Below are 25,708 nucleotides of genomic sequence, written 5' to 3'. Positions count from 1 at the left end.
ACACGAAGATCTGTTGCCCAGAACCTGGCCTCCAGACAGTACTTGGAAAGGGTCCTGTACCCACAGCTAGAAGAGCTGGAGCGGAGACCTTGACCCATGGCCTAGGTGCTTGTCCAGGGCCCCTGCAGGGACACGGGGCTGCCTCCCTGTGCCCAGTGCACCATCTGCTCCATGCGCTTGACCTCAGAGCTGTTTAATGACATCTGTCCCAAGGCACCTGCTGCCCTAGGATACAGAGGCGCTAATTAATGTATTCATGAGGCACAGAGAACCTTTTCTGTTTAATACACACTTCTCAGGACGTCACAAATCCAGAGGTTAAAAGGAATTTTCCTAAACAAAAAATGCACAAACTAAGCTTGTCTGATAGGAATCCAAGCCAGCAAAGACTCCTCCTGAGAGCTGCCTGGGTCCCCAGGCTATGAGAGGGCATTTGTCCCATGGAAGGGGCGTATGCACCCCACTCTGTGCCTCACCTGGAGGGCTGGGGCAGCTCCAATGTGTAAACCCAAAGGAAATGGCACCCAGGCTGGGCTGAGCGCTGACCTGACCACCTCAGGCTTTTCTGAAGGCCCTCCGACCTCATGGGATTGGCAGTCAGAGCAGCCCTGTGTCCCTGAAGCCACTATCATAACGTGGTGTTCTCTCGCGAGGCTGCTCTGGGGGATGGGAAATCACAGAGCACTTTTCCCACCCACTGTCACCAAACCTTCAAAACTGGCTCACCACCAGATGCAGTTGCTGATGCCTTTAATCCCAGCACTTTGGGAGGCTGAGGTGGGCAGATCACCTGAGGTCAGGAGTTTGAGACCAGCCTGGCCAACATGGTGAAACCCCGTCTCTACTAAAAAAATACAAAAATTAGCCAGCCATGGTGGTGGGCACCTGTAATCCCAGCTACTCGAGAGGCTGAGGTAGGAGAATCACTTGAACCCGGGAGGCCGAGGTTGCAGTGAGCCAAGATCATGCCATTGCACTCCAGCCTGGACAACAAGAGTGAAACTCTATCTCAAACAAACAAACAAACAAACAAAATAACTGGCTTACCTTCTTGCTGTGGATAGAGCCGGAGGGCAGAAGCTGTGAGGGGTCCAGTAACATAGGTAATGCTGACCACGCAGAGCTGCATGGTGACTTCTGGGGCCCCGAGGCATCTTTGCCTTCATAAGACCTTTCTTCCAAAAAACATTACAAATATATTTTGCAATTGCATTGATATGAAGATGTCTTAGTTTGTTTTCTGTTGCTTATATCAGCATACCTGAAACTGGGTCATTTATAAAGAAAAGGAATTTATTTCTTTCAGTTACGGAGACTGAGAAGTGCCAGGTTGAGGAACCACATCTGGTGAAGGCCCTCTTGCTAGTGGGGATGCTGCAGAGTTGCTGCAGGACATCACGCCACGAGGGGGCTGAGCGGGCTAACATGCTAGCTCAGGTCTCTCTTCCTCTTCTTATAAGGTCACCAGTCCCACTCCCGTGATAATCCATTAACCCATTAATCCTTGAATGGATTAATCCACTCATGAGGGCAGAGCCCTTGTGACCCACTCACCCCTTAAAGGCTCCACCCCTCAATCCTGCCACATTGGGGATTAAGTTTCAACATGAGTTTCGGTGGGGACATTCACAGCAGAGCAGGAGACAAATATAATCCAGGCTGGGTTTACATGTTACATATTATATATATGAATCAAATTTATCACTTCTTCTGATTTCAAAAGAATTTTAAGTTAAAACATTTTTGTAGGCCGTAGGCCCTGTGTTTGCTCTTGCTGGAAAAGTTGCCCTGAGACCAGGACAATTCAAGAGCCTACAGCCCATCCTCCTTAGGCTGGGACAGCCACTTACCCTGGGGTGTTCAGTTAGTCAATTAAAAGAAACTTGTGCTGAAACAGTACATTAGAGACAGACTTCCTTTAACAAAAACTGAAGCTCCACTACAAGAATAACACAAAAAGAAATGAAAGAAGTCAGATTTGAAAGAAGGTGTTTTAAGTTTATGGGTGGCCTTAATAAACACCCGCGTGTACAACCAAGAGGTGAGCCTGGTGTTTGATAATGGCTTTTAGCTAGGAAATTGAGTTTGGTTTGAAAAAGGGATATTTTGAGAGGATAGAAAGAGCTTCCATTTTATCTGGATACAGAACAAGCCTTTTTATGGTGTTTTACAAAATTTCCTTTAGTCCTCAGATACTGGCTGAGTCCTACCAGGCACCGTGCCAGACCTCAGGGTGACGACGGCTGGGCCATGTTGTCTGCCTAGAGGGGTTCCCCCAGCAGTGGGGATGGACGTGGAGGGCATCTGGATTTCATTCTGCAGGGAACAGGGAACCAGCAGAGCAGGACCAGCTACGCCATTCATGGGGTCTAGAGCAAAATGAAAGCGAAGGTCCCCTTGTTCAAAAAGTGTTCAGAATGTCACAGCGGCAACATGAGAGCATTAAACCAAGTGCAGGGTGCTGATGGGGGGCCCGGTGTCACTGTACGGGCTGCTGGCCTGGGAAGCTGCTTGCCTGGTGCAGTTCAGGGTATGAATCTTGCCTGAAGCAACTGCAACCTCCAGTCTAACCTAGCATACTTGGATTGTACTTGGAGTGTCTTTATATTATTGCTATATTACTTTTTATTCAAATGTAAGATTTTAAAATATATATTTTGATCTTTTGTGGGATATTGACAAGGTTGTTTCTTTGAAAAAAAAAAAAAAAGTTGTATGTCATTAAATACGCAAATTATCCAACTAAACAGAAACTCACTCCAGAGACAACTTCTCCAGAATCTCTTCTCCAGATGGTGAGGCCCAGTCAATGATCCAGGGTCCCTCCCTGCAGCCGGGAAAGAAGGCACGGAACTCACCACTGGGGTCAGGAGCTGGCACTGCCCTTACAAACAGAACAGCAACACAGAAGGTTTAAGTCCTGCCAACAAAGAAGTTTTTAAATTCTCCTTCTACATATTCTACAGCAAAAGTGGCCAAATTCATCCCAAAACTTCCTAAGAAATTCTTTTACTGGCCTGGCGCAGTGGCTAACACCTGTAATCTCAGCACTTTGGGAGGGCCTGGCCTGCAAATCGTTTGAGCCCAGGAGTTCAAGACCAGCCTGGGTAACACGGAGAGACCTCATCTCTATAAAAATACGAAAAAAAAAAATTAGCTGGGCATGGTGACACACACCTGTAGTCCCAGCTACTTGGGAGGCTGAGGTGGGAGGATTGCTTGAGCCTGGGAAGTCAAGGCTGCAGTGAGTGGTGATTGTGCCACTGCACTCCAACCTGCATGACAGAGTGAAACCTTGTCTCAAAAGAAAAAAGAAATTCTCTTACCCCATACCTAGGAGAAAGCAGAAGCTGGGGAGAAGAAAAGAAACCTCATTTTAAAATGATAGGCGAAGACCTATATTTTAGGAGCGCTCGAAGCTCCCCTTTGCCCTGAGCTCTGGGTTCTTCCAGCACTGCGGGGTCTCCTGTGATCTGCAGGATCGGTCATGAGTTGAGTTGCACAGCAGGGCCCGCAGCAGGACAGAATCTTCCCTCCTCCAAGCAGCCCTGGAAAGAAAAAGGGTCTGCTGTGCTCATGGTGCTGAGAAGCTAGCCAGGCCCTCTCCACAAGGCAGCAGGGAAGGTGGCAGCCTTGCAAAGGTAAGTGCGATTTCTTAGGTTATTTCTCTGGTGCTTACATTTCCACTGGAATGTGTAGAAGACTCCATGGAAGACTCAAAAACTACCCTGAGGCAGAACAGGCAGAAAGGGGGAGCCTGGGCTCTGGAGGCACACGGCTTCACGGAGGGCTAAGCCTTGATTTGCTCATCTGTAAAATGGGCATTATACTCCATTGCCACGAGTCACAGCAGTGCCATGATTGGGAAAATGGACATGAAGCCTTTTTAAAAACATATGTGGCACACAGGGAAGGTCTAACAAATATGGGCTAACTCCTGTCATTTCTGCCCAGTTCCCTAAAAGAAATATTCTAAAACTGAAATATTCAGAGATGGCAAGGGGTTAGCAATGATTGGGGAGGAAGGCTGATTTTTCATACAATTATTGTTTTCATTTCCCCCAAGACCCCATATGAGATCCTGCCCAGTGGCACCAGGTGTCTCCTGTGAACTCACTGCCATGGATTTTATCTGTGTCTTTTGGCCTCTAGCAATGGGCCTGGGTGGGGGCCTCAGAGATTCTCCTGAGCACAACGGCCCATCCCTGCGGCCCCTGCCCTGTTTAAGTCAGCAAGTGTCTTCAGGGGCCATAACAATGGAAGCTAGTCCCAAGAACACTGCCTCAGGTTTGACATCCCTCAACCATACTTTACCTAGTTAAATTAGCAACCGCACATCTGTCAAGGCACGAAAGCGGATTTTCTCCCTGCTATCATATAGAAGAATGAATGGCGAGGAAAATTATGTAATGCGTTTTTAGATCTGAACAACTGAGCCTTCTTGGGTCCCGAGCAGGTTGGAAATGAGAGTCTCTGGAGATAGGTGTGTGGGTAACTTCATAAGCTCCACTCTTACAGGGCATGACCTGGGCCCTGGGAACAACCAAGGACCCCTGGGTCCAAGCAGCTGGCTCTGCTGGCTTTTTGCTAAAAAAAAAAAAAAAAAGTCTTTATCAAAACTTCTGATACTCACTGGGAATCTCCAGAAGCGGAAAATAACCTGCAGCATCCCCCAAACAAAATTTACCACAAAATACTCTTATTGAGGGAGTTCTGAATGAATGGCCACCGACAGCCATTGATCTGAGGGCGTGAGGTGAAAGGAGAGCCACAGTTCTGGCCACACCACAAGGAGAGTACAGCAAGTGGGCCAGGGCCACGCAGCCGCCATATTGGAGAAGCTGGACACGTGACCCCAACTAACAACGTGCAGGGCGGGTGTCATGGACTGGGGTGCATCCTCCTTCCTTTTTCTCTACTGTCTTTCTGAAAGTTTATGCCACCGAGTGTTCTCGTTGCTCCACCGTAGCATCAGTCAGAGAGGCTTTCCTGAGATTCTAGCCCCTCACACGGCTCCGAATGCCTGACCCCAGCCCACATTCAGGCCTGAGGCAAAAAAAGGGGATCCCGAATTTTATGTATTTTCCACGACCAAACTTCTCATCATCAAGTGGGATTTTTCGAAGGGATCATTCTCATTTTTTTAGAGGATAAGATTTATGGTTTGAAAGTAATGGCCGCCAACCTCATAAAATGAGGTTTAATATCACCAGAAACATTCTCACAATTGGCCAAATCCCCAAGACATTCATGAAGAGTGAACAGCCCTAGGCAGAAAAGGATTAAATCCGCTCAACGTCATAAAAATACACAATGAGCTCCACATCCTTTCTCATTTTCCAGTGATAGCCATGCTGGGCAGGGCATCTTGGGACGCCCTCTTCTCTCCTCACCGTTTCCCCTCCTGGCCTCCATGCTAAGCCGCACGCCTTCTCTTCCAATGCTGGTCTCAGCCCCTGACACTGACCTGGAGCTGCTCCAGCCCCCTCAGGATCAGTATCTTCTCTTGGCTCCTGAAGAACTGAGTGAATGTAGGATTTGTTACTAGGCATTAGGAATATGGATTCATTAATTAATACAGACAAATTTAAAGCTTATATTCACCTTGCCTTGTGAGATATGTGAAAAACCCTGCTCTGCTTTATAGACTGTGACCTTGGAGAAATGACCTAATTGCTCTGAAAATGCTTATTGATCTGTTAAAAATAAAAACATGTAGAAAGGTAATTTTATTATTAACAGATTGCCTTACTTAATATTCACTAAAATCCTATGCGATGAGTGTCATTCCTCTCACAGAAATGAAGGAAACTGACACCTCACAGCCAGTAAGTAGTGAAGTTGGGATTCAAATCCTGACTTGTCGGATTCTCTAATCCATCATCTTTTTCCATAGACCTCCATCAGACCTTGAATGGAATTTTTATAATATTAGGCAATGATATGCAAGAGGACTGAGAAAGGAAAGAACCTGATAGCAGAGGCATAGCCAGGGAGCCTGGTGCACTCATCCAGGGATGAGTCCTAAACCAAAGCAAAGACAGCTGGAATCGAGAGAGATTTTGTGGAGGCTGAGCCACCTTCACAGGGGGTGAGAAAGAGAGGAGTAAGAAATTGGGAAAGATCAAACAAAACTGAGATTGTTGAGCCTAAAGGAACCAGGAAGTGATGGAAGAGATGAACATATTGAGGAAAGGGAGCCTTCTTGAGCAGAGGGGCATCAAATGAAAATGTCTGGAAAAAATTTAAGAATTCAGATTTTGGTTTTCGAAGAAATTAGGGAAGGAGAATGAAGATGCGAAAAGCAGCCCCATCCATAATAGCTAAAGTCACAAACGTGGGGCGGGGGTCCCTCAGTATAGGAAGGAAAGCTGTGAGCTGAGAACAGGCTTGGGTGGAGGGGAGGAAGAGTGGTCAGAGGGCAGGAGACCCTGGCAGCACCCCAGGGCCACACTAGGCAGAGGTCGCTCTCCCACCAGGGGTGCTCAGAGTATCAAACAGAAGCTGCAGATAGGACATGGCTGTGGTAATCGGAAGGAAACTCATTTTTAAGAGTGTAGTCTAAGTAGAGTGGTGAGAGTGGAGGTCAGATTACAGACGGTTAAAGAAAGATGCAGGGTAAAGAAAGAAGACAGAAGTCACAGACCATATGTTTAAGATATTTAGAAAAAGAAAGATAAAAAGGGAAATAGCAGGATTAAGCAGAGATTTTTTTCTTTCCCTTCAAGTTCCAAAATACTCGAATGTGTCTGACCATAGAAAGGAGGGATCTAGTGAAAATGAAGACAGAGTAAAGAAAAGAGATTGTTGAAGAGACTGATTTCTAAGGAAGGCAAGAAGCATTTACAATGAGCCACTATATGCAAAGTATTATGTTTCGCACAGTAAGAAATAATGCAGAAAATGGTGTCTTCTCTAAGGAACTCACAATTTAGAAGGAGAAACGACAGTTATGCAAATAATTCCCTTTTACAACAGTGTAAGTCCTGTGTTAATGTTATGTTAATAACAAAGTGCTCTTGGAGTCGAGAGGAAATTAGGGATGAAGGGGGAAGGGACATTTCAAAAGGCATCACAGGGGAGAAAGTACTAAACTCAGCCTTGAACGATTAGTAAGAATATAATTGGCAAAAGATCATGAGCAAAGAAAGAGGAATTTTGGCCACAAAAATGGAATTCATAGCAAGGGTAGAGGATTTGGCCTTAGAAAGGAGGGGCAATTCTCCAAGGGAGACTTGGGGGGAAGAATAAGTAGGAAAGATTAAGTGGATAAAGAGGTATTGTAAAGTAGAGAGGATAGGAGAGGAGAGAACTCATACCTGATGGTGTCTCCATACTTGTAGGAAAGCAGAGGGCCAGGGGTCAAGGCCAAGAGGAAAAAGATTTTAAATAGCAGTGAACATTCAGGTGAATGAAGTTAGAAACTCCCAAAACTTTGTCTAGCAAGAATTGGCACTCTGGGAATAGGAACTAGAATAGTAACTGTCGAGAGGACTGTAGCTTCCCGAAGTCTGATGGAGAAGATACTCTGGCCTATCCTCATATGGAAAATAATGAACAATGCTGATATACAGAAAGCATTGATGAGTTTGGCAAAAAAAAAAAAAAAAAAAAAAAGTAAGTGACTGAAAACCAAGCAAAGGTGAGAGTGAAAGCCCAGAAAAATAAGCAGAATTCTAATGCCACCTTATATCTTAATAACATTTACTCTAAAAGTAAATTTGAATTTTTATTTTCACAGCCTTGCTGGGTGAAAAAAACAGGGCCTGGTCAAGGTGGGGAGGCCAATAGAAGAGCCCCCTCCATAAATCTAGAACCCTAATGGGTTATATCTTCCAGTTAATTAACTAGGAAATAGATTCACCCACTCCCTCCCTCAAGGGGAAGCAAGGAGTTTGCCTCTTTCAACCTTGAACCTGAGTAGAAGAAAAAAACCTCAAGTTGAATATTTAGTTAAAAGATGCCTATGACTGGTGGTTCCCCCAGATGCCTGGAAGAGGTAAGTACAAACCTTCCCAAGAGAAACTTACTCAACCTAGCATCAAATAATTTCTACAGATATGAGCTCACAGTCAAAAATCACGAAATAGGCCAGGCATGGTGGCTCATGCCTGTAATCCCAGCACTTTGGGAGGCCTAGACAGGAAGATCACTTGAGTCCAGGAGATCGAGACCAGCCTGGGCAACACAGGGAGACCTCAGCTCTACAAAAAATCAGAAAAATAAAAAAATTAGCCAGGTGTGATGGTGCGCACCTCCAGTCCCAGCTACATGGGAGGCTGGCACAGGAGAATTGCTTGAGCCCAGGAGGTTGAGGCTGCAGTGAGCCAAGATTACACGATTGTACTCCAGCCTGGGTGACAGAGTGAGACCTGTCTCAAAAAAAAAAAAAAAAAAAGTAATAATCATGTCTTATAGAGTTAAAAATTAGAACCAAAATATAAGACACCAATAGCACATGATCTAAGATTAGGGAAGGGGTTTGTTGATAGGATTTAAAGTATTCTGAACTATATACTATTTAGAGAGAAAAAATACTAATTAACTTCAGACTGATAAGTTAGAATTTTTAGAATAATAATAAAGAATAAAGTGTATCATTCCCAAGCTAGTAAGAATAAAATTACACAAGAAAAATAATGTTTATTCTAAAAAGAAGAAAGAAATGGGTGGATCCAATTCAGACAATCCAAGAGAAAAAAACAAAACAAAAAAAATTTTTGTGTGTGAGACAGGAAAATTTGAACACTCACTGCATATTTAATGATATTAAAGAACTGCTATTTTTAAAGATGTAATAATGGTAATGTAGTTTTGTTTCATGAAAGACTTCTTAAATATTACACACATACTGAAGAATTTATGAATAAGATAATATGATGGCTTGGTTTTGCTTAAAAACAATCCAGTGTTGGGTAATGGGGAAGGTATAGAGGATAGATAATATGAAATTTGTTGATCATTGCTGAAGTTGAGAGATATTTCTCCACTTTTGTTATGTGTGTCAATTACTTATAATGAAAAGTTAAAATAAGAAAATAAATATTGAAAAAATAAAAGAAGACAAGAAAAGAAAGATAAAGGAACAGAGAAGATAAGATAAATAGAAAGCTTTTAATAAAATGGTAAATGTAAGTGCAAATATTTTAGTGATCACAATTAATATAAATTAAGTTTCAGCTTTAAAAATCCACCTATATGCTACTTATAGGAAACACATTTAAAACATAAAAGTTTAAAAGTAAAAAGAATAGAAAATAATATTTCAGGCAAATACTAATCCAAGAAGCTGGTATACCTAAATTAATAGCAGACAAGGTAGACTCTAATGTAAGAAGCATTACTAGGAAGAAACAGAATCACTACACAATGATTAAAGTTTTAGTTCCCTGGGAAAATATAACAATTTTAAACATGTATATACCTAATAACATAGCCTCTAACATATAAAGCAAAAATATATGCAATTACAAGAAGAAATTTGCTTTTATGGTAGAAGAGTTTATTATAACTGTCCCAGTAATTAAAATATCAAGAATACTAAAAATAAAACCCAAAACTGTACAAATATAGAAGATTTGAATACTACAAAGTTGACTCAATATATATTTACAGAAAATTGTACCCAACAACTATAGGAGACATTATTTTCAATGACAACTGAGCCAAAACAAGTTTCAACAATGTTAAAGTATTGGTATTATACAGACCACACTGTCTGACAACAAGGCAGTTAAATGAGAAATTAATAGCAAAAAGATGATTTCCCAATGATTGAAAGGTTTTAAATGTGCTTATAAATAACGAATGCCTCAAATAAGCTAACGCATACGTTTATTATTTATTTATTTATTTATTTTGCGACAGAGTCTTGCTCTGTCGCCCAGGATGGAGTGCAATGGTGCAATCTCACTCACTGCAACCTCTGCCTCCCAGGTTCAAGCAATTCTCATGCCTCAGCCTCCTGAATAGCTGGGACTACAGGTGTGCGCCACCACACCTGGCTATTTTTTTTTTTTTTAATTTTTTAGTAGAGACGGGGCTTCACCATGTTGGTCAGGCTGGTCTCAAACTCTTGACCTCAAGTGATCTGCCTGCCTCGGCCTCCCAAAATGCTGGGATTATAGGCATGAGCCACCACACCTGGCCATAAAGCATACAATTTATAATAGAATTAATCATCTAAGCATATGATTTAAGATAGAAAAAGAATTGGATAATCCCAAAGAAAGCTAAAAGAAAGAGACTGATGAAATAAAAGGCAAAAATATAATAGAATCAACACAACCAAAAATCATTTATTTGCCAAAACTAATAAAATTGATAAATTTCTGGCAAGATTGATCAAGAAAAAGAGAAGACACAAGTAACAATGTCAGAAACAAAAAATGAGACATAAATACTGATGCTTCAAGACATTACAAAGATTTAAGAGGTTATTATAAACATTATACCAGTAAATTTGAAAATGTAGATGAAACAAATTACTAGATAAATGTGACTTTTCATAATAAACTCAAACTCAAGAGAACACAGAAAACTCAAATAGTCATAATCAATACAAAAATTGAATCAACAGTTTAAAAATCTTCCTACAAAGGAAACATCAGGCTCAGATGCTTTTAGCCACAAGTTCTACCAACATTCAAGAAATGGGCACGGTGGTTCATGCCTGCAATCCCAGCACTTTGAAAGGCCAAGGTGGAAGGATCGCTTGAGACCAGGAGTTTGAGACCAGCCTGGACAACATAGTGAGACTCTGTCTCTAAAAACAAACAAACAAAACAAAAAAAAAGAAAGAAGGAAAAGTAGTCTTAAATTATTTCAGAATAGAGAAACGTAGGTAAGACTCACCATCTCATTTTAATGAGGCTTGCATAACTTTGGTAGCAAAACCAGATAAGAACAGTAGCTGAAAAGAAGTTTGCAATCTCACTTATGAAATGTAGATATAAAAATCATGAACTACTAGCTACCTATGGAAAATGTAAGATGCCCACTTTTTTTTTTTTTTTTTTTTGCTACTCTTTCCACTGAGACATAGAGTCTAATTTATTTCCTCTTGAATCTGGGTTGGCCCTAGGAAAGTACTTAATAATAGAATATGGCAGAAGTGGCACTGAATGACTTCTAAGGCTAGTGAGCAGAAGCGTGTGGCTTTCATCTTAGTCTCAGAACACTCTGTCGAGGAGCCCTGAGCTGTCACGTAAGATATAAGACTGCCCTGAGAATGCCAGCTAGAGAGGCATCGTGAAAGCACTGCAGTGACAATCCCAGGCAATTCCAGTTTTTCTATCAATGGGCCAGAAATGTGAATGAGGCTCTCGAACCCGCCAGACCAGCCCATCTGCCAGCTTAATACCACCAAGTGACCTCAACGAGTCCATAGGGAATGGGAATATTCCTGAGCTGAATCCTGCCCAGATTCCTAACCTGCAAAATGGTAGGTATAATAAAGTGGATATTGTTTTATTTTTTATTTTTTTGAGACAGAGCCTTCTTCTGTCACCCAGGCTGGAGTGCGGTGGTGTGATCACGGCTCACTGCAACCTCTGCCCTCCCCCTACCACCTCCCCAGGCTCAAGCAATCCTCCTACCTCAGCCTCCCGAGTAGTTGGGACCACAGGCATGCACTACCATACCCAGCTACTTCTTTTACAGAGATGCCTCACCATGTTGCCCAGGCTGGTCTCAAACTCCTGGGCTCAAGGGATCTGCCTATTTTGGCCTCCCAAAGTGCTGGGATTACATGTGTGAGCCACTGTGCCCAGCCTGGATGTTTTTTAAATAACTAAGTTTTGAGGGTAATCTGTTATGCAGCAATAGACAACCAGAACACTCACGAACTCCAGCATTACATAAAATCATTATAGGCCAGGCACAGTGGCTCAGGCCTGTAATCCCAGCACTTTGGGAGGCAGAGCTGGGAGTTTGAGACCAGCCTGGGCAACATAGAGAGACCTTGTCACTACTAAAAATAAAAAAAGAGCCAGGTGTGGTTACATGAACCTGCAGTCCCAGCTACCTGAGAGGCTGAGTCAGGAGGGTTGCTTGAACTCAGGAGGTTGAGGCTGCAGTGAGCCATGATTGTGCCACTGCACTCCAGCCTAAGCAACAGAAAGACCCTGTCACAAAACAAACAAACAAGCAAATTTCAGGTGGGCTAAGGAGTTAATGTGAAAAACAAAACTATAAAACTTTTAAAAGACATTAGAGGAAACTATGTTTATGAATTTGTATGTAGAAGGGGAAGATTTCTGAAACCAGACACAATTATACAAACTATAAAGGGAAAGATTAAAGAATGGAACTGTTAAAATTAATAACTTCTGTTCAGCAAAAGCCACCATAACAAAAAAATAAGCCAAAATTGGGAGAATATATTTGCAATACACATAAGTGACTCAAGATTGGTATCCAAAACATATAAAGAACACCCACCTATTAATCTGTCAAGAAAAATAGGCAAAAGATTTGAATAGGTGTGTCACCATGGCCAATTTGCATGTGAAAAAACCCATCCTCGTTAACCAACAGGGAAATTCAAATAGAAACCACAGTGAGCTATCACTTCATGCCCACCAGGCTGGCAAATATTAAAGATGATATCAAGTGTTGGTAAGGATGTGAAATGAGTGGTAGATCTATACCCCACCTGTCAGAATGTAGACTGACCTAGCTACTTGGAAAACTGAAGATGTACAAATCGTATCATCCAGCAACTTTACTTCTACGGAAAGTCCTGAACAAGGAGCCGTGTCTAGAATGTACATAGCATAGCAAGGGAGTCTGGGAGAGTAAAAACCTGAAAACAACCTAAGTGTCCATCACAATCAATGTGTCCATCACAATCAATGTGTCCATCACAATCAATGTCTCCACACAACGGGACTCAAGGCAGCAGGAAACTGAACAACTCACAGCTGTGGCCAAATGATGCTTCTCAGGAGGCTGGTGTCCAGCAGAAAGAAGCACGTTGCAGAAGGCTATGTCCTGTATCATTCCATCATGTGAAGCCCAAAGATATGCAAACAGAAAGTTCTAGTTAGATGAAGAAAGGCGAGAGAATGGTGAATACACAACTCAGGATGATTAATTACTTTTAGTGTAGAGACAAGGGGACAAGGAACGGGGTGGAGGCCACACAGGAATCTCCAAAGTTAGGAGCAGTAGCCTTTTATGAAAGGAGGGTGTGGGGTGCATGAATGCTCCCAGGATCATTATTCTTTTATTCTATTCAATATTATTATTTAACACTGTTGGGGAGCCCCCACACCCGCCACCCACCCCAGGATTGGCTACTGGCATGGTCCAAGGTGCCACTACAGAACAGCTCTTCCCACTGTGACCAGAGCATTGAGTCAGACAGCCGCCAGGGCAACATGCTGCCGGATTCTTCAGTCACCTCCCAGGAGTAAGAAAAGACTTCTCTTTTCCTTTCCAAGCAGGTTTTCCACCTGAGCTACATCCAGGGAAATCTCTGACTCCATTGGATAAAGGGTGATGTATGTGTGAACTGTGCGTGTGGCCAGAGGAGGAGTGGAGAAGGACAACCAGAGGTGAAGAAAGAGTGCTGGTTAGGGCCAAAGACAAGCCGCGAAATAGGAGAGGTTATGGGAAAGCTCCTCACGGCACCCAAGGAACACGAGGATCAACGCTGAATGTACCAATTACCGCACATTGCGTCTACACTCAGGGCCTGATGAAACCAGTTTGATTCTGGCCAACAGCCAGGGGAAGAAACCCCACTGGGCCCACTTTCACAATGCCCTTGAGGATGGGCCTGGTAAATGGGTACCTTGGAAGGAAGAATAAAGGGTTCTGTCCATTCCTGCCAACTTCTTATCCATGCAAGGTCCTAGCATCAATTAAAAATGCCCCGTCCTGTTTGGCCTGTCTGCCAGGGGGCAGGGTGGAATACACTTGCCTCATCTAATACCAGGGATTGCTCTGCCTTCATTTCTCCTAAAGCAAAACTTGGCACTGGCCCCCAGCGTGGCAGAAAGACAAGCCCGTCCCTTCCAGGTCATTCATTCTTGGCCTCAGCTTGGGGCGGGAAGGTAGGAGACGCATGAAGCACCTCGGGAAAGTAGCCCACAGAGCTAGCTCACGGAGCTGGCCCAACTTCTCCAACCTCAGGGTTGGTATCAAAGGGCTGGGGGAACCACTGTGGCTCCAGTTTGCCTGACTTCAGAACTCCAGCGGTTGGGACTTTTTGGTTTTTATCCCATTCGTCTTTTTTTTAAGTTTCTAATCAGCAAGAATCAGCAAAGCAGCCTTTATGGTGCAATAATTCTGCATGTCTTGTTATAAATATCCCCAGGCAAAGTTAGGGTTATTTCATATGACTATCAAAGTAACACGCCCGCTTCGGTTGCAACAAGGAATCTGTGAGGACTAGCGAGCAGGAAGCTTACCAGCTGCATTGTAAGAGGCCTTTCTTTTAATAAAATGGGCACATATTTACCTATAAAAGAGAATGACCAGCTGGGCACATTCAGAGCCCATGTGACATAAAGATACAGAGAGAGAAATCACATTATTTTTGGAATTAAAAAAAAAAAAAGAAAAATTCGCCCATCCACCCACTTCCCAGGAACAGCCCTCAGTTGTGGGTTTTGGCGACATTGATGTTTACAATAAACTCCCAGAGCTCAAAGGCTCCAGGTCCAGTACCAGAGGCCTTGGATCTAAAGAAGATGCTGTGGTCTGGTTTTCTTAAATGGAGAATGAAGAGCCTCCTCCCCTTCCTCTGAACAAACCTCTGATGAAAGTTTGAAATTGTTAAATCCACGATGAAACGATACTCCTATGGTTCTGTTTTATTTACTGCATTCGATCTTGGTTATTTAGACCCTGATGAGGTTCAGCAGGGACACGAGTGAGCTCACAGAGGGGCAGGACAGAGGCAACAAACCCCCGCACTCTGTTCTTTCCTGTGCAAACTTGCTGCTCGGCCTCTTAAGATTTCCAAACTGCAGGCTCCCTACCAGGGAGGACGGCACAACTTTTTTTTTTTTCCCTCAAACTTCCCCAAAGCTGCAAGTTTGTTCTGGCTAAGAGAGAAATGTCTGTGAGGGGTCCGATTTGGTAAGAAGCTTATTTGTTCACTTATGTTTTTAGTTCACTAAGCACTTCACTTGCCCTGGCCTCTGTGAGGACATTTGCATATTGAATCATCCCAATTTGCATATACAGCAGGCACCTTTCCTCTTCGGACAGATCAGTCCGCTGAGGCTGGACAGGGGAGTAACTGCCCAACAGCACATGCTGCCCAGTCACTGGGGCCTTGGGAGGCTGCCCGCGCCTGTCCCTAATCTCTCCCGTCAGAACCCTTCCTGCTCCCCTTCCTCAGGACTCTCCACTATCCAGGTGGGGGAGAAACACGTGCGCCCGTTAGCTGTGACATGGACCCCACCTGGAGGCGGCTCCTCAGGCTCTTGGTCTATGGATATGGCAGCTGTGGGTCCTCCAGTCAAATCACAGATCTAGATTTTGAGTAGGGAAATATGAGCCCTGGCTATAGGGCCACAGGGACCCTCCCTCTGCCCTTTTTACCTCAAACCCTCTGCCTCTATCTGGAGCCCCAAGTTTTATATCCCCCAGGCGCTAATTAAAGGCCTCCCTTGGAGACCTTCCTGGAGGGCATTTCAGGGCAGCTCCCCCACTCCCATCCCACGCTGAGGTGGAGAATGAATGTATTTATCCTCCTGATCTCCATGACCACGTTTCTGAGCTGTGAGAAGATGTGGCCTGACACGTGGCCTGTGCGCCAGGGCGGAAACAGGAGAGGTGGGGTGGGGAGAGGGCGCAGGCAGCTGCTCCTCTGCCGGGTTCTGCCCTGCATCCGCCCCCTGCGTGGTGTCCAGGGACCAGGTGAAACCCAGACCTCCTCTTCCAGCCTGGACCGTGACTGCCACACCGGCAGCTCTGTGCAGGCCTGGGGAGAGAGAACTAATTTCCTTCGCACCCGAAGTGCACACCCAGTGAAGGCATAACCTCCTCGGGGCTCAACCAGGCACCCATGGCTATACTTGGAAGGGATTTCTTCTCTCAAATCCCTTCGTATAACAGACAGACCAGCCTAGTAGATAACAAACTAGTTCTAGCAAAATGACTAGGGAGCCAGTTGCTGGTTAATGGGCCTTTAGTTGGTGCAGGGCTATAAAACTTGGGGCTCCAGTTAGAGGCAGAGGGTTGGAGGTAAAACAAGTCTATTTGTCTTGATTGCAGAGCCGGAGGCTTCATCCCCCCGGACAATAGGATAATGAAAGGGGAGACACCGATCTTCCTCGAGTTTCTAGCTTGAGAGACAACAGGGAATCCCTTTGGGGAGTGATGGCTGGGATACCAGACTTCTTCTATCAACCTGCGTGAGGAGAAGGGTCTCAGCAGGTGAGGAGATGCAGGGAGCTCTCTGGTCAGAACTGCATGTGAGTAAGAAGGGCTTTCAGGAGGCCCATTGACAGATGCCTAGAAAGCTTGGGGCAGGAAGCATTTGAAAATGCTTAACCCGGGTTAACACTGAAACAGCACAAGCAAACCTGCTGCCTGTGGCTTCCACAAGGCCAGCTTAAAGGGCCTCCTGTGCTCAGTTTCCACCTGATCCCTCTGGGGAAGCCCAGAGGAACATGCCTGTGACTCAAAGGGTGGCCTGTGCTGCCACCAACTGTCAGGAGGACACTGCCAGGCTCTGCCAAGCTGCTTGGGGTCCCGCTGACTTCCAGACTTTCCGCTCCAGAGGAGCTAAAACAAGATGATAAAATCCCTAATTATGGTCTCTGTAGGCACTTCTACCCTTAGGCCCATGCTAGCTGCCAGGCAGCTAAGAGGCTCCCTGGGTGCTGAGTGCCCAGGGAGGAGGCCCTGCTGGATAAGACCTCTGATCCAGCCTGGGCCCACAACCCCTCCATCTCCAAACCTCTCACCAGTCATGAGTTTTCCCCCAAGCGAGGCTGCAGTCAAGGGGCACTTGTTGCCTGTTACCAAAAACACAAATCCCAAAAGTGGGACCTCAGTGGATACGTGTGAGGCTGTCTATAGATAACCCAGAGCTGTCCCTGCCCTCACCCACCCCCACCAACCCTACCAAGGAGGAGGAAAGGATGGTATTGGGGTGGAGGAGACCCCAGAATGGGGAGCAGCAAGGATTCTCTTCAAATACTGATTTGGTGGCAAGGCAGTGACCCCTCACTGGCTGTTCCCTCGGTGGTGGTACCTGGCAGGTAGGTGGGGCCACCCCGAGATGCTTTATCATTAGATCTGCGACCTCTGAAAGACCAAATCAGATGGACGAAGGTGGTTGTGTACGTGCACGAATGGGGGGCCAAGTGGAAACTACATGAAAGCCAGGACCACCCATACTTACATTCGAATAGGCACTATCCTTCAGGAGCACCTGAGTCAAGGGAGTTTGAGATACATGTTCTGTGCAAAACCACCAGCGGGGTCTGACAAGACAGTCTAGTTAACTCCTGTACTCCTTAGCTTAGCTCACAAAAGCTGTCACTCTGCACTCTGAACCAGACATGCCCCAGCTTTAGTTAAGCAATTCTCCAAATAAGACATGGCATGACACCTTCAGCCTTTGCCTAGAAAACCTTCCTGCTTAGCCTAAGTCACTCCTATTTATTCTCCAGGTCTCATGTAAAAAACACCCCAGTCCCTGTCTCTTCCAGAGTAGGCCCTCCTCCTGCATGGCCCACAGGACCTGGCACATGCCGTCACAGCACCCAGCATGCCCCATGTCATTATTTAGTGATAGATGTGTCTCCCTGATTTGGCTCATCTCTGTGGACCCATCACAGTGCTGGGGGTACAATGGACATGTGACAAAATAAGGGTATCACTAACTGTAAGCTATTCGATAAACACTCTTTTCGAGAAGACAAGGAAACAGAAAGGCAGAATGTGAAAGAAATAGGAGTTGAGACAAACAACAAATCTCCCACAGCTCTCGGGCCATACACTACCTGCACCGTCACCTGCTGTGTGTGCCTCACAAAGGCATTCTGATGTGAATCAAAATGGAAATTCAGAATACGAAAGATGTGTGAAGCTGGGCATAGTGGTGCACACTTGCAGTCCCAGCTTCTTGGAAGGCTGAAGTTGGGGGGATCACTTGAGCCTAGGAGTTCAAGACCAGCCTGGGCAACATAGCCAGATCCTGCATCTTAAAAAAAAAAGTGTGAGAATTTGCTTAGAAATGTTAGAGACAGGACAGACTTTAATAATCTCTCCTTTGAAAGTAAGACCAGATAGAGTGAACTGTGGGGTGTTAGCCCCTCTAACTGGAAGAATGGTGGTGTTTCTGTCTAGCAGACAATTCGGATTTCTTCCAACCCCTCATTGCACTAACCTCTTTAAATGCAGTTAATGTATGTAGTCAGCTAATTTGTCCATTGCTTTAGGTTCAGACCCAGTTCTTACATTTGTCTGGCTCAAAAACTGAGTGACATTGCCAGGGTGCATACGAAAATTTTTTTAAATACTACCAGTGTTCCTAGAAATTGTGCATAAATCAAAATGAATTCTAGTGCTGTGTCCTCAGGCAAACTACCTCATCTCTCTGGGCTTCAAGTCCTCATTCTGAAATCTGACTCTATGGCTAGAGTTCAATCCAGTTTTAAAATTCCTAAGCCTGGATTGGATCTGATCCTTAGGCAATGCAGTTTTAAGTAAATCTAATATACAGAAAAGTCCAGGTTTACTAAAAATCAATGAAGGGGTTTGGGAGTACAGCACTTCTCAAAGTTATAATGCCAGTCACCTAGGGATCTTGTTAAAATGCCGATTCTCACTGAGTGGCTCTGAGGTGGGGCCAGGGTTAGCATTTCTAATAAGCTCCCAGGTGATGCCTAGGCTGCTGGTCCGTGGACCATACTTTGAGTAACATGCCTGCTATGCTAAAACCTCAGATTATCTTGCTAAGGCCAGGATGACCAATTTCACCAAAAAGCAATAGTGGAAGAGAGGAGGGGATGGTCTATTCATTTGCTAGGGCTGCCATAACAAAGCACCACAGACTGGGTGGCTTAAACAACAGAAATTAATCTTCTCACTGTTCTGAAGGGCCAAAAATCCAAGATCAAGGTGTTGGCAGGGGGCAGTTGCTTCTGAGGACTGTGAGGCAAGACTGGTCCATCCAGGCCTTTCTCCTTGACTTGGAGATGGCCAACTTCTCCCTCTTTCTTCACATGAAGTAAGGACACACACACTCTATGTGTGTTTCTGTGTCCTTATCTCCTCCTCTTATAAGGACACCAGTCATTGGATTACGGCCCATCCTGATTCTGTCACTGTGACTTATCTCTTTAAAGGCCTTACCTCAGAATGCAGTCACCGTCTGAGGTGCTGGGGGTGAGGGCTTCAATGCATAAATTTGGGAAGGTCACAATTCAGCCCATCACAGATGGGGATCTTCCACCCATTGTCCTGCTCTTCTTTGAGATGGCTGCTAGACGGGTTAGCCACATGCTGCATAGTGCTTAGAACCAAGCAACTTGTTCTTCAGAGTTGCTCATAAACCCTGTGGACTCTGCAATAGTACCATCAGTTAGATACAGTCACAGCTGACTGTAGAGTGATATCAGTGCTAATTAATAGATTGATGTTGCAGGGCAGCAACATGCTTCATGGTTTTATTGCTGGCCCTGTCTTGCTCAACACATTTATGCACAAGTTGAATGAACACAGAAAGTACGCTTATGAAATTTGTGGATGACACAAGGTTGAGAGGGAAAACCAATTGTATAGTTGATTGAAGAACTTGAACTCAAATGTTCTCAGTAAGTGACAGAATCAAAATGATTGTGACCAGCTAAGAATAACAGGCCTAAACAAACAAAATGAAGTATAACCAGATATATTTAAACTTTCCTCTTTAGGTTGATCAAGGCAACTATCAGTTAGAAAGGCGCATCCCAAACTTCAGTGTGCATCACAATCCCCGGGGGATCTTGCTAGAAAGAAGCATCTCATTCAAAAGGTCTGGGGTGGGGGCTGGGCGTGGTGGCTCACGCCTGTAATTCCAACACTTTGGGAGGCCGAGGCAGGAGGATCACTTCATCTCACGAGTTTAAGACCAGCCTGGGAAACATGGTGAAACCCCATCTCTACAAAAAACCCAAAAATTAGCTGGATGTGGCCGGGCACAGTGACTCACACCTGTAATCCTAGCACTTTGGGAGGCTGAGGTGGGAGGATTGCCTGAGCTCAGGAGTTTGAGACCAGCCTTGGGAGCTTGGTAAAACCCCATCTCTACTAAAATACAAAAAATTAGCTGGGTGTGGTGGGTGGTGCCTGTAATCCCAGCTACTCAGGAGGCTGAGGCGGGAGAACTGCTTGAACCCAGGAGGCAGAGGTTGCAGTGAGCTGAGATTGCATCACTGCACTCTAGCCTGGACAACAGAGAGAGACTCTGTCTCAAAAATAAATAAATTTAAAAATAAAATAAAATACATTAGCAGGATATGGTGGCACATACCTGTGGTCCCAGCTACTCGGGAGGCCAAGACAGGGAGATCACTTGAGGTCAGGAGTCGAGACCAGCCTGGGCAACATGGCGAAACTCCATCTCTACTAAAAAAAAATATATATATATGTGTATATATATGTGTATATATATATGTGTATATATATGTGTATATATATATGTATATATATGTGTATATATATGCATATATATATGTATATATATGTGTGTGTGTGTGTATATATATATATATATATACACACACACACACACATACACACACATACACATATATATAAATTAGCCGGGTATGGTGGCACACGCTGGTAGTCCCAGCTACTCCAGAGTCTGAGGCAGGAGAATCGCCTGAACCCAGGAGGCAGAGGTTGCAGTGAACCGAGATTGCACTATTGCACTCCAGCCTGGGTGACAGAGCAAGACCCCATCTCAAAAAAAAAAAAAAGTCTGGGGTGAGGCTTGAATCCTACGTTTCTTGCAAGTTCCCAGTTGATACCAATGCTGCTGGTCCATGGGCCACACTGAATAGTGAGAGTGAAAAGCGCTAGGATGATTAATCACAGTCTTAACTTTGTACCTACAGAATTATGGAATTCTAAGTAGTAAATGGGCACACTGTCTTTCCTACTCCCCAAGCCCCACCTGCTGTGCTGCATTTAGTGTGGGAAGCCATATTTTAATGTGGCCTTTATGATATTAGAATACAACCAAGAAAACAATACAAATACAGAGAAATCTAGAATTTCCACTGTGAGAACTGAAAGAGCTGGGATCCATCAGCCTGGAGAAGGGAATAATAAGTGTAGGAAAGAAAATGGGTAGCTTTCCTTAGATTTTTAAAATACCATTAGGTGGGAGAGAGTAGCCCTAAGCATTTAAAGAAAATCTCAGTGTAGGGTGTAGGGATCAAGAGTCCAGGCTCTGAGGTTAGACAGATCTATGTTCAAATCTTAACACCACTTTCTCTGTGACTTCCAGTAAATTACCTAGTCGCTTGACACAGCAGTGTCTTTATCATATAATAAAAATATTAAGAGTAGTAGCCATCTGCATCAGTTAATTCGGCTGTTAACTGCTATCACAGAAATATTGTGTTAGTGGCTTACACATCAGAGCCTTATTTCTCACTTGTGTGTAGTCCAAAATGGGTGTTCTGGATTAGCAGGCAGTTTTGCACTAAACGAAGATTCAGTGACGTAGGGCTCCTTCCATCTGGTGGCTCTGCCATTTTCATCACCAACCTTCCAAGGTCACCATGAAAGGGAAAGAGCATGCAAGATCATGTGTGGAGCCCAGGCGCAGTGGCTCACGCCTGTAATCCCAGCACTTTGGGAGGCTGAGGGGGTAAGATCGCTTGGGCTTAGAGTTTGAGACCAGCCTGGGCAACATAGCGAAACCTCGTCTCTACTAAAAATACAAAAATTAGCTGGACATGGTGCTATGTGTCTGTAGTCTCAGTGACTCGGGAGCCTGAGGTGGGAGAATCACTTGAGCCTGGGAAGTCAAGGCTGCAGTGAGCCAAGATCGTGTCACTGTATTCCAGCCTGAGTGAGAGAGCAAGACCCTGTCTCAAATACATAAATAAAAAGCTCATGCATGGCAGGTTATCATGAGCCATATCTGAAAGTGTCACACATCCCTTCTGCCTACATCTCATTCGCTGGACCTCAGGCACCAGGCCACATTTAACTATGAGGAGGCTTAAAAATGTGGTCTAGCTGCACAGCCAAGGGAAAACGAGTTCAGTGAACCGCTAGCCCCTCTCTGCCACTCTCTATCAGAAGGCTGTTGTGAGGATTAAGTTAGATAATGCAGGTAAGATGCTTAGTTTGACATAGTATCTGATACATAGGGATCAGTAAATTGCTAGTTATGTGCTTTTGGAAGAAAAAAGTAAGTCCCAAATATTAAATTGTAGGAAGGCAGATTTCAAAATCAAACCAAGACAGAACATAAAGAGTAACAGGACAGTTCAATTGTGAATTCTAGGATAAGGTAGAACTATTCAAGTAGAAGGCTTGTTTCAGGGATGCTGAAGGGAATTCCTTTAGTAGATGGAACGCTGAGCTGGGTAACCTTTAGATATGCTGAGGAATATCAAGAACCTTGGGCTTCACACATGTGGCTTGATTCTAAGTGGATTTATGCTTAAATGTGGTAGACTAGACCACATCAGCATCGTCATTCTTTGTAACCTAGTCTGCATCTTAATAATCAATATCACTCAGTAAACTTGAAATAGACTTAAGCAGATAGAGGTTACAAAACCCTATCTTTTGCTTGGTTTGACATCTTTCTCTCCTTATCTCCATGCCTACCTCTGCATCTTTCCAAAAGATGAATTAAAACTTCATCTTGGGAACCTCAGATCTGAGTACTCCCTAGAGATAACCGAAGAGACTGATCATGAAAGAAATGTGAGAATCTGGTAGCTGATTGTTCCTATGTTAACATCTTAGGCCAAGCCTGCTGTTTTTGGATCTTTCCATACTGCATCAGATAGATTTTTCTGCAAGATTCTCCCTAGAGTATGTGGAAACTTCTAAGGGCCTTTTCCCCAAACCCCTGCCAACTATTGGTTTAGTTATTCAATACATTCATACATAGTAGAGAGAGGATGGCTTTTTAAAATTACAGTAGGCAAAACACATATTCTTTTAAAAATTAGTTAAGATCTGTTTAATATTCTAGGCACAAAAGAAATCTGATAAAAATCTGCACTGCCTGTAGTGGTCTTCAATTTACAACTTGCCACCAACTCCCAGCTCCAGAGGCTAATGCCCAATGGTGGCATCTGCAGTTAAGTCAATAAAGCTACTCTTGATATTTCTCTAATTTCCAAGTCTCCTCAGTGATGCATCTCTCCCCAGTCATTCTGAGTTTTGCTCCCTCCTTTCCTTCTCCAATAACACAGGTCTCCACCTGAAAGCAAGCCTGCCAGTGTCAGATAAATTAACTTGTTTGGTTTAGTGGTACCAGACCCCTAGCTGCTTTTGGAAGCAGACAGAGAACAGTAACTGATATTTTCCAAATATTAGCATGTTCTCATTTTAGGAGAACTAGAGTCTCCTGAAGTTCTTGGAGATAGAACCTTGGTATATTTATATTTAAAATGTTCTAATACTTGGTATCTGTTAGAATCAACACTTCCACATGAAATAAATTTATGATTTGCTCATGGTGTGGAGAATTTCCTTAAGAACTGTTAACATGTAAATAGCATGCGAAATCTCAAGTCTTCTGAATACATTCACTTGACTATACGGTACTACTCTAAACACCAGGACGACACTGTGTTAACCACACCAAAGACATTTCTCAGGACAGTCACCTACTAGGAACTTCCCAACCTTGCCTGAAGTGGAAGAGAAGTGAAAAAAGGTGAAAACCACTCTCTTGACAGACCTCAAGATTCTGTTTCCAGTGTAATGAGACACAAAATCAACTCCTACAAATCTTAGCCATAAGATTTTCGCTATTATTAAAGCCAAGGATAGAAAGTAGAAGAGCTATCGGGAATATAAAGTCATAAGGCATATGCTCCTTTGGTGGGGTGAACAGTATCCTCCCAAAATTCACATTGACCCGGAACTTCAAAAGGGGACCTTATTTGGAAACAGTGTCTTCGCAAATGTAACTAGTTAAATGTGAAGATGAGATTATACACTTGTGTGTAGTCCAAGTGACAGCCCTCAGGGAGGAGGGCCCTCCAACTGGTGTTTTTATAAGAGGAGGAGAGGACACAGAAAGACACAGAGAAGACTATGTGAACACAGACGCAGACATTGGCATTTTGTTCCCACAACCAGCAGCTTCCAGAGGCTGGAAGAGGCAAGGAAGGATTCTCCCCTAGAGCTTTAGAGTGAGGGCGGCCCTGCCGACCTTGGATTTGGGCTTCTAGCCTCCAGAACTGTGAGAATAAATTTCTGTTGCCTTAAGTCACCCAGTTTGTGTCATTTGTTACAGCAGCCCTAGAAAACGGATGCAGCCAATATAGGTCAATGGCAATGCTTGTATCCTTAATTGGGTCTGGTCCAGCAGCACACACACACTTTTTGATAATGGCAGAAAGTACAGAAGACACAAAGCACTATTTGTTCAATTTTCTTCCTTCCCTTAGCATTAAAGGCTACCAGTATCACTTTTATAAGAATTAAGATTGCAGAGAAGTACCCAGTGAGATTAAACTATTGAGAGTTGAAAGTTTAAAGGACCTGTGGAGACCCCCAGCACAACTTCCCACTTGTATTTAGGGAATTGGAGGCCTCAGCCATAAGATGTCGTCAAGAAGCCAACCATCAAGTCCTGACCTTTCCTTCATTCTCAGGCAAAGCCTCCATTAATATCACAAATATGAAAAGTCATCAGTCCTATAGCCTAAACCTCAAAAGTTACATTTCTATACTAGCTTTGAATCTAAATAATTTGCATAGAGTTATGGCAATTTTTCTTCCACAATACCTTAACATGTAGAGAACGCTGCAAGCAATGACGAGACTAAATGGGTACTTTCATTTCACCCATGACGACAGCAAATTGAAACACCTTAAACAAATCCATATGCTGTTTGAGGAAATGAGAAACATGGCCTCAACATCACTTTGAGGGACAGAATTAAAAAGCGATGCTTCATTCTCCTAGTTGTTTTTCTTCTCATTTCCCCCAGCATTTCCAAAAGTACATCAGTAAGACACAATGCTGGCTCAACAGTGTGATCTAAAACATCCACAGAGTTAGCACAGGAAAAAAAGGCTAGAAAGAAATGCATCAAAATATTAACAGTGCCACGTGTGTTTTCATTTTCCTTATATTTTTATTTTCCAAATTTTCTGCAATGAGAATATATCACTCATAATCAAGGAAAAATCTTTGAGGAAGATGAAAGGTTTACAGGCAACCCTCTAACTCCTTTTCTAAAATTTCTTAGAAAGAGAACCTGTGAACAATTTACCTAGACAACAAAGGTGGGGGACTTTACTGTATCTTCTTTTGTACCTTTTGAATTTGGACAGTGTATATACATTAATTGTCCCCATCTTACATTTCCAAAATTTGCCTTTTCTCCCCTATATGACCATCATAACTAGTCAAAGTAAATATTTTCTTTACTAAACATATTTTCTCTTTTTGGGTCTCTCAATCTTTTGCCTTAGAAGGCCCTAGAATACAAGACTTAAGAGTATTTTGGGTATCAGGCATCCCATCAGGGATCACTCC

At 43.8% G+C, this 25,708-nt stretch overlaps 1 long non-coding RNA gene across 2 annotated transcripts; it reads right to left on the bottom strand.

Moving 5' to 3' along the window:
- Positions 1 to 3,333: 3,333 nt before the first annotated feature.
- Positions 3,334 to 5,792, bottom strand: LOC107985142 (uncharacterized). Of its 2 annotated transcripts, none has more exons than XR_001753381.2 (3): positions 5,394 to 5,792; positions 4,315 to 4,587; positions 3,334 to 3,548 (listed from the first exon to the last, which is right to left on the bottom strand). It is a non-coding gene; the product is annotated as an uncharacterized LOC107985142 (long non-coding RNA). The 2 variants fall into 2 exon arrangements; XR_001753382.2 differs by lacking the exon at positions 5,394 to 5,792 and adding an exon at positions 4,688 to 4,813.
- Between the last annotated feature and the right edge of the window lie 19,916 nt (positions 5,793 to 25,708).

The sequence above is a fragment of the Homo sapiens genome, chromosome 18, assembly GCF_000001405.40.
Source record: "Homo sapiens chromosome 18, GRCh38.p14 Primary Assembly".
Lineage (NCBI taxonomy): Eukaryota > Metazoa > Chordata > Mammalia > Primates > Hominidae > Homo > Homo sapiens.
This window is presented reverse-complemented; position numbering and strand designations above follow the sequence as displayed.